General features: G+C 53.7%; 1 protein-coding gene across 125 annotated transcripts in view, besides 1 other annotated feature; it reads right to left on the reverse strand.

The window, feature by feature from the left end:
• Positions 1-13,558, reverse strand: part of CELF4 (CUGBP Elav-like family member 4) — a 322,955-nt gene that overhangs the window by 202,481 nt on the left and 106,916 nt on the right. The gene's annotated exons all lie outside the window — the stretch shown is intronic.
• Positions 5,963-6,857: an enhancer, noted in NCBI's record as "H3K4me1 hESC enhancer chr18:35031250-35032144 (GRCh37/hg19 assembly coordinates)". NCBI's record gives its function as "activates a minimal SCP1, AML or CMV promoter by ChIP-STARR-seq in naive H9 embryonic stem cells {active_cell/tissue: H9 hESC(naive)}" and the evidence as "EXISTENCE:reporter gene assay evidence [ECO:0000049][PMID:30033119]".

Below are 13,558 nucleotides of genomic sequence, written 5' to 3' on the forward strand. Positions count from 1 at the left end.
GGGGAGCAGAAATGGAGCCTGGAAGGGTTTCTCGGTGTTTCGGTAGGCTGAGTCCCTGAGTTGGGTTTGGGGTCTGCTGCTGAGTCCCTGAGGGGTGTCTGGGGCCTGCAGCTGGGGTCTGGGGTCGGTAGTCACAGTGCTGGCATCCAAATGTGTGTGTGACTCAGAGTTGTCACCTCGTGGGGTAGTGCTGCCGCCAGACAGCCTGGGGCTGAGTTACAAGGACACAATGATTAAGATGATTAAGCAGAGGAGGGGGGAGCAGGGAGAGAGAGGCAGGCATGAAGACAATGCCCGCAAGGATGGGGTGGCAGATGCAGGGAGGCAGAGGCCCAGGGAGGGGCAGAGGGACGGGACAGTTGGAAAGAAGGCAACTCTTTCCAAAAGAGAAAGGGAGGCATAAGTCCGATGCATTCCGTGTCTCCCATAGAGCTTCCCCTGAGAAGCTGAAGAGGAGAAGAGGCAGAGAAGGCAGACAGGGAAATGGCCACGGGAGGCCTGGAAGCCTCATGTCGCCTGTGTGCCCGCAGGTCTCTTTCTCTGTCTCCCACCACCACCATCCTCCTCCTCCTTATCATCTACCCTTTGAGTATCTACGCTATGCCAGGCCCCACGTGGACCCAGCTTTTATCCTCTTCACAACCCTTCAAGGCAGGTATTAATATCTCCACCTTACAGAGAATGAGAAGGAGGCTCAGAGTGGCGAGAGCCCGGACTTTGACCCAGGCTTTGTTAGCGCCATCCTCCCCTCATGCTTGCGGTTGCTGCTCCAGAGAAGGTCACAGACATGGATGCTTTGCCTTAGCAGGAGCGGACTAACGTGGGTGGTGGGGCTGTGTCCAGGTGGATTGTGCATGTGATGAGGAGGGTCTGCAGACTGCATAAATGCTACAGCCATGCCACACTTTTGAACCCTCATTACCCATGTGCAAGAGACGGATGGATTTGGAGATCAAGGACCTTGTATTGTAGGCCAGGGGCTCTCCAGGCCAGTGACACAGCCCCAGCCTGGAGGGGTCGAGCCAGGCCTGGGTGACCAATGCAGCCCCCCAGGGTCCTCAACTGGGGGTGCTGTTGGGCTCCCTGTGTGAGGGAGGGCAGGAAAGGCTTGGACTGTAGTTTCCACAGGTTCATATTTGAGTCCTGGCTCTACCACTCATGAGCTGTATACCCTTGATTAAAGTCCCTGGTCTCTTTGTGACAGCTTCACCACCTGGAAGATGGTCCCAGCCCCCAGTGTGTAGGGTTAAATGAGAGTCCATGTAATGCACTGGACACAGTTTCTGGCACACAGCAAGCATGCAGTAAATATTAGCTAATATTTCTTTAATCATTCAAATAATCATTTATTCTTTGGTTCCCACCCTTCCTCCTCTCTCTACCTCTCCCTTCTCCTGAGCTCCCTCTCTCCTCTCCCCTCATCCCTCACTGTCAAGCCTGTTTTCAGAGAGTCTATCAGGTGTCAGGAGCCACTCACGAGAAGACCATGGTGTTGCTGGGCAGCACAATTAAGTCAGTACCACATTACTGGTCATTTTCTGTGTGCAAAGCCCTGTAATTTGCACAAGACACACTGGCCTTTCTTTTTCCCTCAAGGAGCTTCTGCCAAATAGGAGATCCTTGGCAAGTATAGGAGTGATTTCACTCATTCACTCACTCATTCATTCACCATTAAAATATCCTTCCTTGACTATCCAGCAGTGTGTGATCAGTTGCAGAAATGAGGAGATGCAATAAAATCCTGCCATAGTCGCTAAAAGTGGAATAAGAAAAGAAAAAAAAAATAATCCGATAAAGGGCAGGGTCTCATTATTGTGAGGCCAATGAAATGCCACAGTGGGTGCCTGTGCAGCCAACGGGCCAAGGGCTCTGGAGCCCAGAAGCCAATCACCAAACACTTGGCATCCAAATTCATGTGATCCAGAGCACGTCACAGAGAGGCTCCCTCTTGATTACAAGACTCACCCTCACATGCTGGTTTGTGAAGCGGCTTGAGTGCATTATCTTGTTGCATCCTCCCCATAGCCCTGGGAAGGGCTTCAGGTGTCACTACAGACACTGCACAGGGAAGGATGGTGACTTCCCACAGTTCCCCAGTGCTCACTGTCAGAGTCGGGGCCTCACTTGCACCCCGTGCTCCTTTACCACCCCTTCCAATCCCCATTGACCCGAACTGGGCCTTCCTCTCCTGCAGCTGGAGGGAGCGACCCGTTTTTCTTTCTCTGTGCAGGCTCGCTCCCCAGCCTCCAGGAGCTCCCCAGGGGCCCTGGCCCACCCAGCACATCCTTGGCTGCTGGAGGGCTCAGAGCCCTCTTTGCAGGTCAGCTGTGATGCCACATGGGCCCTGGGTTGAGGGGTGGGTGTCTGCACCCTCTACCCATCTGGGGCATGACTTTATTTTCTGATTCTTACCTGCCCTGGTGTTCGGGTTTGGGCCAATGTTCCTGAGTTTTTATTGACTGCCTGTCTTTTTGTGGGAGATTCATTCACTTATTCAGTGCCTCTTCCCATCTTTGTTCATTCATTCCACATGAGCCAGTGGAGAACCCTAACAGCCAGATGGCCAGCACCACTGGGTGACCATCCCCCAAGCACCTCCACCTCTCCTCCGGGGCCATCCAGGGCTCCCTGCAGCTCCCTTGCTTCCATCCTGCTGACACAAATGAGACGTATCTCTCCTCAGAGCCACATTGGTATAAGCCTAGGTCTGAGTACACGGTGGCATTCAGTGATTCCCAAATTAAAATGATCTAGAGCCATGAGGCAGTCGAATGGCCAGTTGTGCAGAGCATCGCATAGTCATTACAGGTAACTTTTGGATGCTCAGTGGTGCTGACATCAGCAGGAATTTGCTTCCCGGTTCAAACTGGAGGGAGTGGGTCTCTTGTCACTGAGGCCTTGAGGCTTGTGCATGATGACTGGAGCCTGAAGCCCGGGCAGTTCTCCAGGAATGAGTTCTCTGAGGAGGACGGGGCCAGGGCCCTGGGTGCTGGCAGAGGACAGAGGAAGTCCTTCCCTTCCCTACCAGTCACCAGTCCTCTGAGGTGTGCCTCCAGCCCACGGCTGCACAGAAGCCTCCCTGACTGCAGCCCCACTGACAGCTGAGCCCCCTGGCGAGGCCTTGCCTTCACACGGTATGGCCCTATGCTGTCCCCTCCCGGCTGTGACCTCAGTGCCACGGCAGGGCATGTCCAGCTCTGACGCATTTGCTGACTGGCTGGGGATGGGGAGTGGCAGCCATCCCCACCCTTTCCGTCTTGCGCAGGTGCTGGCCCCTGACAGCGTCCTGGCATCTGGGAGGCTGGCGGGAACTGCCGTGAGCTGCTCTGACCGCCTTCAAGGGCACTGCCAGGAATAGATGTGGCCACCCCACTGCCTGCATGGGTCTGGCAGCCTCGAGTGCCCCATCTCCAGACTCTGCGCTTCCCAAGAAGTGCTCAGCCCACTGCCTGGTTCCTTGGAGATGAAAGTTCCGTTTGGTACTGGGACCTTGCTCTTCAGAATGTGTCTACTCACCCTCCCATGGCATGGCCCAGCAGATGCTATCCTGCCCACCCTCTGGGCCCACACGCCACAGCCACTGGCCAGGCGCAGACACAGAGCCAGCTGACTGTTTGATGCCAGCATGGCCCAAGCCTCATGAGCTCCCCCAATGGGTTTGTCCAAGCAGGAAACCCTTAGTGACAGCATCACGCTCCTTTGCCTTTTTGGCCAAGAAACAATGCCAGGGAGATGAAATGACTTGCTGAGTCACAGCTTGCCAGTAGCAAAACCGGACCACCAACCCACAGCTGGTTGCCCCAGCTCAGTAGCCTAGGTGTTCATAGGAAAGAGATGGCTTCAGGATTGGAGATCAGGGAGGGCTGCAAGGAGGAGGAGGCATCTGAATGCTTTAGAACGATTTGGGTCCTGAGGCAAGAGGAAGGATGTCATCCTAAGGGATGGGGAAGCATGGGTTGCCTTTGACTGAGAGTTACTGGGCCAGTGTGACTGGGACAGCGGGATCATGGGGGACAGGGAAAGGAAGAAGCGTGCAGCCCAGGGAAAGGGGCATGACAGTGCTGGGAGCTTGATCTCAACTCTGCTTCCAGGCTGGCTATGGGATTCTAGGGAGGTGGGAGAAGTTCTACCACCCACTCATTTAAGCTTGCAGGGTTCTTTGAGAAGCCCTATGCCACTGAGTGACAGGCCCTGTTCCAGATCCGGGGATACAGCGGTAAACAAATTCCCTGCTCCTGAAGCACACGGTCTAGTGGAGGGGGACCAACAATGAACATGCAAGTCAGGGCGTAACTGGTTGGACGGTCACAGAAACAGTAAAGCAGAGTAAGGGGAAGGAAGAGCTACTTTAGATAAAATGGCCAGGGAAGGCCTCTCTGATAAGGTGACATTTGAAAAGAAACTGGAAGGAAGTGAGAGAGTGAGCCAAGTGAGCATCTGAGAGCAGAGCTTTCCAGGCATAGGCAGAGCACATGCAAAGGCCCTGGGGCATGTGGGAACCAGACAAGAATTTGTAACCTCAAGGTGTGTCCCTTATTTAGCTGGAGGCCCTTGGCTCTGGCTACCACCCCCTGCCCACCTTTCACTCTTCCACACCCAGGACGCCATGAGCCCAGGACAGGCAGTGAGAGCAGTGGGTGCTGAAGTCCCTGCACTAACAAGGAGAAAACCCAACTTCAGGAGTTGAGGGACACAGGGTTTTCCCAGAGCCCAGAAGTGCAAGCCTATGCTATGGAGGGGCCAGGGTGGGGGAAGAAAATTCCAGGCGTGGGGAGGGGAAGGGAGCAGGGAAGGCTCAGAGGCTAGAGGGTGTGTGTGTGTATTTATATGTGTGTGTGGGAGGGTACAAGTTTGTATGGGAGTACATGTGGGTATATTTTCGTATGTGTGTTATGTATGTGTGTTATGTATGTGTGTATGCGTGTGAGTGTTGGGAGGAAGAAGCAGGCTGAGCGGTCCCATTGTGGCTGGAAAAAAACGCGTTCTCTCTCGCCCTCTCTTTGTGCTATACGTCTCTCTCTGTCGATCTCTGCACCTGTGTCTCTGTCTCCCTGTCCAGGTCTCTCTCGGTGTCTCTCTCCTCCCTCCCTCCCTCTCCCCTGCACCCCCTTCTTTCTCTCAGAACAGGAAGAGGCCTGCAAAGGACTGCCATTTCCCTCTGTCTCCCCGCCCCCTTTCCCTCCCCAGGTTTTTTCCCTTGCTCCTTATTCAAGGCAGATAAAGTGCGCACAGCTGCTCCCAGCTGAAACAGGCCTTAATTGCACCCCCGTTGCCATGGCGATCCCTGATGATCTCCATGGCTGGAATGTTGCCCTCCCTATCTTCCCGCTGGGGCCTCCGGGCAGCACAGCCTCGCTGACCCTACGGGGCACCCGCCTCACCTCATGGGCTCCCCAGATGCCTTCCCCTCCCCCATGGTGCACAGCCCATCTCTTTGCCTGCAGGGCCTCGGTGGTACCTGTCACTCCTTGGGACGTTCCTGGGTCCAGCATAACAATGCACAGGCTCCTAGCAAGGGACAACACATTCCTCTGTCACTAGCCTTGGCCTGGTTTTTCAGGAGTGGGAAGGAGGGGACCTGGCTCAGAAGGCTGTGCTCTGGGCCTCATCACTTCACTTGTGGACCTGCCAAAGCCCCACCCACTGCCCTGAGTGTGGCTGTGGGCGCCTTTGTCAATGCAAAGCAGCCCACATGTTGCAGTTTCTATCTGAAGGAGCCCCAGGGACATGGAGATGGTGGTGGCCCTGGTAGAGGGAAGGGCTGCAGAGACCAGGCTCTGCAATGGGACAACCAGCAGGATCAGCTGCCCCCCGTCCCACTGCAGAGGACATGGGCAGAGTAGGGGACAGAGTGGTGGCTCCCTTGGGAGGAGGAGGGGGACACTGAGGAAATCCCAATGGGGACAGGCCCATTGTGGGCCAGGAATGTGAGCCTGATAAGGGAGGTGGACAGTGTGGTGTGGGCTGTGTGTGTCTGTGAGTACGAACGTAGTGTGTCTGTGTATACGTGTGTGCTTCTGTGTGTCTGTGTGTATCTGTGCGTGTGTGTATGCTGTATGTGTGCATGTGTCTCTGTGCATGTGGTTGTGTATGCATGTGTCTTTTGTGTGTGTGCATGTGCATGTGCAGTATGTATGTGTATGCAGGTATGTACCCATGTGCATGTGTGTCACTGCATGTTTGTGCACGCATGTGTGCACATGCACATGTGTGTATGTATGTGTGTGTGTGTCTGTGGTTTGGTCCACATCCCTGCCTTGCACTTCCCTCCACAGGACCCTCTGCTGGCATCCGAGCTGGGCCACACAGTAGCTAGCGCGTGTTCACAGCTCAGTGGCTCCTGACAGGGGTCTCCGGGAGGGCAGTCGTACTTAGCACCCAGTCAGCACACCCTGAAGAGCCATCAGACATGACGTGGGACAGCGCTGAGCGGCCCAAGAAGCCCCGCTGCTGGTGCTGTTCCCTCACATCACCCACTCCATCCTCTGAGCAGCCCAACCCCAGCCATCCATCCAGTGGGGCCTGGAATGGAGTGGGCTTCTCATATCCTGGATCTGATGGGCCTGCTTAATTCCCTCCTCCACCAGCAAACCTAGAGATGAGCCCAGGGCGGGGGATCCCAGCACTTTCTGCCCACCCCTCCATTCTTGGGATCTGAGCCCTCCTCTGCCCAGCACCTGGGCAAGGCTCCCTGCCTCCACGGGCCCCTTCTCTGGGCTGGCATGTGCTGCCTACCCATCAGCCAGGAGGCAGGGACAGTGGGATGTGGGGCAAGATTTTCCAGAATGGAGCATCTCTGGTACTCATCTCTGCCAGCAATGGTGTCGGCTGAATGCACGCCACCCTGAGCCACGCTTGGTAATGTAATAATGGCAATAATAGCAGCAGGAGTAATAACAGCTACTGCTTATTAAGTGGCTGCCACATGCCAGGTGCTGTGAGTAGAACTGCAGAACTCTAACACACCGTGGTGTCTTCTCACAACCCTTGAGGCCAGGACTGTCATTTCTGCACAGATGGGGAAACAGGCGGTGCCTGCCCAGCCAGGCAACTCAGCTCTTGGTGGTCAAGCTCAAGGAACCCCAAGGTGGACCCAGAGGCCTGTGGCTGTCCTACCCCAGGCCCTGGCAAGCAGTTTCTCTTTCCCTGGGCTGTCAGACGCCAGCACCTCCTGCCTGGGGTAGGGACATAGGCTTGAGGGGCTAAAATGTCACCTCATGCATTGTTTTGGAAGCAGAACTCTCTGGGAAAGGATTTCTGCTTGAGAGTCTGTGTCACGGTGTCTCTGCATCAGAGCACCACCCCACCATGTCCCCAGGTCTGCTGGACACTGCTCAAGGAATCATCCTCTTTCTCTTACAGACCCTGGTTAGTAGGCTTTCCATACATATTTGTAAATAAGTAAAGGTGTGAAATATGAGTGCTTCTTATCTTAATTCATCACTCTGACTTCTCCCTTTTCTCAACCCCCAAATGGTTCCAGAATTCATCTCCTTCGCCTCTGCATAGCCACATCTCTGGCTGAGATCCCAGCATAGCCTGAGCCAAGTACCCACTGCCCCCACCCCTTCTTAACCCTCACACCCCAAGGGAGTTGAAACTCAGGGCTGGTACCTCACTGCTCCATGCAAAAGTCTCCTCCAGCCCGCAGAAAAATGTTGCCTGGCTTTGCCAGCCATTCCAGACCCTCCAGATGAGGCACCACCCCCAGCTGCCCCTCACACACCTGCCTCAACTTCCTGAATATGCTTCTACATCTGGCCTCTGCCTTGCTTCCGGGTTCCCTCTACCTGGAATGGCCCCCTCCTTTTCTCTGCCTGTAGCAATACCATTCCTTTTATGGTCCAACATATTTGCTCATACTTCTGGGAAACCTCTTCCTGGCCTGCAAAGGCACCGCCCTCTTTTTACAAAACTGACCACATTATGTGTGTGTTCTTGCCATTTGCTGAATGGATGAATGAATATGATAAGGCAGTTCAGGAAAAACAGCTTGTGTTTGTGGGGTACTCCCTAACCTTTAGCCCAATGCTAATTTTCTTGAACATTCTCTAACCAGCCCCAGTAACTCTCAGGGTCACATTTCTTCAAAGCTCCCAAGGAGGGGATTATGAGTACTGACCGTGTGACACTCTTGGGGGAACTGGTCCCTGCCACAAACCTTCACTGGGGCTGGAGGCTGCTGTCCTGACTTTAAGGGCTATGGGATTTAAGAGAAAGGGGTTACAGAAAAAGCCGACCCTTGAACTGGGAAAGATTTCCATGGAGAGAGGTCATTTCAGGTGGAGGGAACCTCAGGAGCAATGGCAAGGAGGTGGGACTCGGCACAGAGCATCGGGGGTCAATGGTGAGGAGGCTGGCCTGCCTGGGGTGGAATTCAGGCTGAGGGCAGGGTGCAGATGACCCATCAGGGCCTCAAATGCAGACTGCAGTCACTGGATGGCCAGCAGCCTGGGAACAGGGGTAGTCTGAAGAGAAAATGCCGATATGAGCCTCTGTACCACCCTGGCACCTAATAATACATAAGGTAAAATAAAGAAGCTTATTTTTCCAGCAGGACTCATGAACTCCCCACAGGCAGCAGCTGGTTTTCTTCTTCCTTCTCCCCGCTCCCTCCACCCCCGTCCTGTTTGATCTAACCCAAGTCTTGTTCTTCAGGCTGACCTTGGGTTTTGCCTGGATTTGGACTGAGCTGCCTTCTCCAATGAGCCAGCATTCCTCTCCACTCATCTGTCTTTCTAGCAAAAAACCCCTATTGCCTTGCCTCCAGACAGACCTATCATATTTGGAAAAAGGAAGTTATAATTCAGGTTAAAAAATAACTAAAAACAGCTTTGCAAAGATTTGTGCACTGGGAAGCAGAAAAGCAAATCATATCCCTTTGCATCCCAACAGGTGGGCAGTAGTTTCTCGTTGCCTGAAAGGGGCTGGGAGGTACGAGAGGATGCATCTCAACTCTGAGCATCTCCTGTTTTCCATGCCAGGAGGCAGGTGGGCTCTGTTCTATGAAGGAGGCCTGGGAGCCCAGTGAAGTTTGCCGCATTCAAATGACCCAAGTCAGACCTTTAGGCTCCTCCAGTGACCCTCTCTTGCTTGGGTGGGGGACAGCCAACCCTTTGCTGACCTCCTTTACAGGTAGCCCCCACATGGTTCTTGTCATGCATCTTGTGACCTTATCTGTTGTGAGCACCTTGAAGGCAGGAATGTAGCTTAATTTTCCCTGTGTTCACCCACAGCTTTGTTCACACCCCCGCAATAAGCAAGGTATTCAGGACAACCATGCTGATATGTGATGGCTGTATTATGACCACCCATCAATATGGAAATGTCCATCCGGCATCAGGAAAAAGAGTCCGCCTGCAAAGCATATTTTACTCCCAACATCACACTTTGTTTAATTAACTATCTCCACTGGCGGTTGTTAACACAATAAAATATATTTTTTAAAAATAACATGATTAACCTTGGGAATTAAAGAGTCAACTAAACACATTGTTTTCACTGTACCAGGCACAGGAACCAGCCCTGGATGTGCTACGGCCCCTAATGAGGAGAGCAGCCATCAGTTAACTTACAGCCCTTTCCTCTCTGTGACGTGTCTCCAGCACGAGGACATGGGTCCCTATCCCTAGAGTCAGCTCTGCCGTGGCCAAAGTCCCATCCCATCTCCCTAGTGAGAGCCTTCTCCCTCAGGGATGCCCAGTCTGTGCATTGCTAAGTGGCACTTTAGGGGAAAAAAAATCCACATTCAAATGTATTTCTCTCCCTCTCCACTCAAAACCTCTGGGCTTTTGGATACGAGAGCCTTTTATTTCCTTAAAACAGCAGCGCCTTCATTTTGTTTTAAGGATTTAATGCATTGAGAGGTGGGAGGAGCGGATGGGAAGTAGAGAATTTCTCAGGCCTATCTGCTCACACCTTCTAAAGGATGAACCATACCAAGTGCAGAGCATCCAATATTTGGGCCAAAGTTAATTCTTTCTTCCTTTGTCTTCAGGCTTAATTTGCTCAGAGGGTTCTTGTGAGTGAGACCTCCTCTGCTTTTTATTATTCTACCTCTTCTCCCTTCTCTCCTCTTCTTCCAACTCATGTCCACTTCCCACCAAGGGTGTCACTGTACCCTTGTGGGATAGCACAGCCAAGGCCTGGGCTGTAGGGGGCAGGAAGGAATGTGGTTTGGGGCTCCCCAATGAGAAGCCCCTCTCTTTCCAGGCCCATAATTGGGGAGCCAGGGCTGACAGGGCTGAGCCCAGAGTGCCTCTGCCCCAGCCCTGTGACATCAGGGCTGTGGACACAGAATGTGAGCATGGGCAGTCAGGGAAGGATGATGGAGGTGGATGGCAGATCCCTGCAGCAGATCTGCAGGACACACGCTTTTAGGTCATAGACAAGGTCTACAAGCTGGGTCACTGCAGGAAATCTTGCCACAGAGAATGACTGATCATATACCCGCAGCTGGGACAGGCCGAGGTTTGGGCCCCCGGGCTCTCCCAGGGCTCTGTAGAGAGGTCTCCTCACCCTGATGCCACTGAGGGCCAGAGGAGCCTCCATCCTAGAATCTCGCAACCTCCTTCCTTTGGAGCCTGTCTGCACCCCCAGACGGGAAGGTCCCTGAGGGCTGGGCTCACTCTTCATTCACTCTCCCATCTCTAGCAGCATGAAATGCACTGAGTGACTTCTTGTTGCTGAATCTGGGCCCCGTGGCTTCTGTTCTCCTCCTGAGGCCTCTGGAGTGTCATACCTACCCTTGGTCACCTGTGGCAGAGGGAACCCCAGAGCCTCGGTCCTGCTTCAGTGCTGGCACCTTCCTCTTTGGCTGCACAGCTGCCCCTGGTTTCTCCCCATCAAGTTATCCCTGGGCCTTTTCCTCCTTCTCCAGGGCAGACACCCTGGTCTGGCCTTTTGCTTCTGAGGCCTTGTTTCCACCTCTGTGCCTTAAAAGAACCCTCCATTGTGGGGCTTGGTAAGGACTCTGGAAGTGGCCTCGGTGGGGTGGCCCGTAGTGCTGGCTTGTTGAGACCCTGAAAGGACAAGCCTGCTTCTGCAGGCCCAGGACTCTGCCTGCCCTATATGGATTGAGGAGTGAGGCTTTGCTTCTCTGTGTGCAGGACCTGGGTTAACAACCTGCCTTGTCCTGCTCCGTCCAGCCCTGCACGTCTGACAGCGTGTAGTCCCAAAGGGGACTCTGTCAAAGGGCTCAGGGCCACTCAGATCCATGATGAACATGACTCCCTTATCTGCAGGGCCACATCTTTCCCAAAAGGCTTCTGCTGCCATCTTCTGACTGAATTCCTTTGGGTCGAAATTAGGATGGGTCTTCTTAGCCCCCATTTATAGCTGGGGAAACTGAGGCCCAGGTGATCAGGTGATACACAGCCATGAATAACAGAGCCAGGCCTGTACCCTCCTGCGGATGCTCAATCTGGGGCCTATTCCTGATGCACTGTAGCCATGCCCAGGTGAGAGGCAAAGATCCACATGCCATTCTCTGGGCTGCCAGTCTAGTGATCATCTTTACCAGGCCAGAGGCATTTCCTGAGACCACACCTCGGGAACTCCTCCAGCCCCAGGCCTGCATGTTTAGAGATTCAGCCTTCATTCCACTTCTCCACTCCCTTCCTCATCTTTGGATGGGACAGCCTGATCTTCCTCTCCCAGGCTTTCTGTCACTGGGCCTCCCAGAAGCTCCCTCCCTGGTGATGTCTTTCCTGAGGAGGCTTCTGAGACCTGCCCCCATCTGGAAGGTTCAGTGGAAGTAGGAGGTGGCTGCTTCTATCACTGGGTGCTTGCAGAAGCCGGGGTGCCTCCTAAAGAGCAGGAGGGCCTCTGAGTGTCTCTGGTTCTCCTCTTGGGACAAGGCCCTGGCTCCCTGTGGCCTTTGTTGCCTCCAGAGCCTGACTGGAGCTGTCTTCAGGAGACACCAGCGGCTGATCGTGGCCCCTCGCTGCCAGCTAGGCCATGGCTGAATCTAGCAGGGCTTCCTCCTCCTCAGAGTGGTCTCCCTGAAAATATCCCAGTCCTCCTGAAAGCCCCCTCCAGACACAGAGTCAGCTCTTTCTGGGACCCTTACACCCCAAGATCCAGGGCTAAGAGTGCCGCTGGGCATCTGGGAGTGTGCAGAACTTGGAGAGAGGAGGGGAAAGGAGTCTTCCACCAACCCACTTCCCAGGCAGCTGCTGAACAAATCCAGGGACTTAATAGGAGCCACACAAAGCCCTTGAGTTGCTCCAGAGATCAAGGGTCAGCCTGAATACCTCATTAATTAACTGAGCAAGGCTTCCTGCTATTGACAGGGTCTGGGAGCTCAGCCTGGGAGAAGACCTTACATCCCGCAGCCCGAAGACCATCTCCACTTCCTCCTCCTTTCCTTTCTCCCACTCACTGGTGCCCACTGGCCTGTTCCATCCTCTGAGCCCAGCTTTCCCAGGAGGCTGTGGCCTGGCAGGACTGTGAAATGTGACCCTTCCATTTTCAAGCCTGACCCCCAAGTTGTTTCCCTGTCCTCTATCCCTGCCCACTCCTCCTCCAGTCCTTTCTAGCATAATATCCGATGCTCCAAGGATCCAGCACAATCTGGCTCCCACACACCTTCAAATGCTGCTCCTGGATGTCTATCACCAGGGAGAGGATGTGACGAGCTGATTCACACCGAGGTGTCAGGCTGAGGGTGTTGGCAGAGTGGGTGGGTGGGTGGTGATTTCGTTCCAATAAGGGTCATGCGTGAACTCTAACAGTATAAGTTTTAATGATGGGACTTCGAGCATCAAAGACAGGCCAGACAGCAGGATATTTTGAGCAAGGAGCCCTTTCCCGGGACGGCTAAGGTCATGAAGTGGGGGTGGCAGCATTCTGTGCTGGTGGCTGAGGCTGTCCTGTCTCTGGAGCTCTTTTTCCCATTAGGGCTCTGCTTTTTCTCTGCAGATGTGAGTATCTGCTTTGGCCACTTCCACTGCCATCCCTAGCACCACCCCTGAGTTTTCCAGGTGCACACTAGAACTCTTGCCTCTGGGAGTTTTCTTTGCCCTAGTAAGGATGTACCACTAGTGGAGATTTCCCCATGGTGGGGACTGGCCTTCCATTCAAATGTTGCTGAAGAGAGGGCTCCATTATCACCTTTGGGCTTATGTGGAAGGAGTACTGCATGGCCAGGTATTTCACCTCCTGGCATGGAATGAGGTTCTTCAACCTGCTATTTTTGGGGACCAACACATAGGAGACCTTGTTACAGTTTGCAGTATCTCTGTTATAACTTGTAGAGCTCATCCCTGCCGGCTGACATTTGTAGAGCCTATTGCTGTTTGCAGAGCCAGCTGTTTCTTGAAGGGCTCGTCACTGGCTTTAGAGCCTGTGCTGTTTGTAGAGTCTGTTGTTTGCAGAACCGGGCATCACATGCAGAGCTCATCACTATCTGCAAAGCTTGCTGCCACTTATAAAGTTTCTCGGGGTTTGCAGAGCCTGATACTGCTTACAAAGCTCATTAAGGTTTGCAGAACCCATAGCAGTTTGTGGAGCCTGTTGTTTGCAGAGTTACTCCTTGCTTGCAGAGTTCTTCGCTGGT

The sequence above is a fragment of the Homo sapiens genome, chromosome 18 (genome assembly GCF_000001405.40).
Source record: "Homo sapiens chromosome 18, GRCh38.p14 Primary Assembly".
In the NCBI taxonomy this organism is placed as follows: Eukaryota; Metazoa; Chordata; class Mammalia; order Primates; family Hominidae; genus Homo; species Homo sapiens.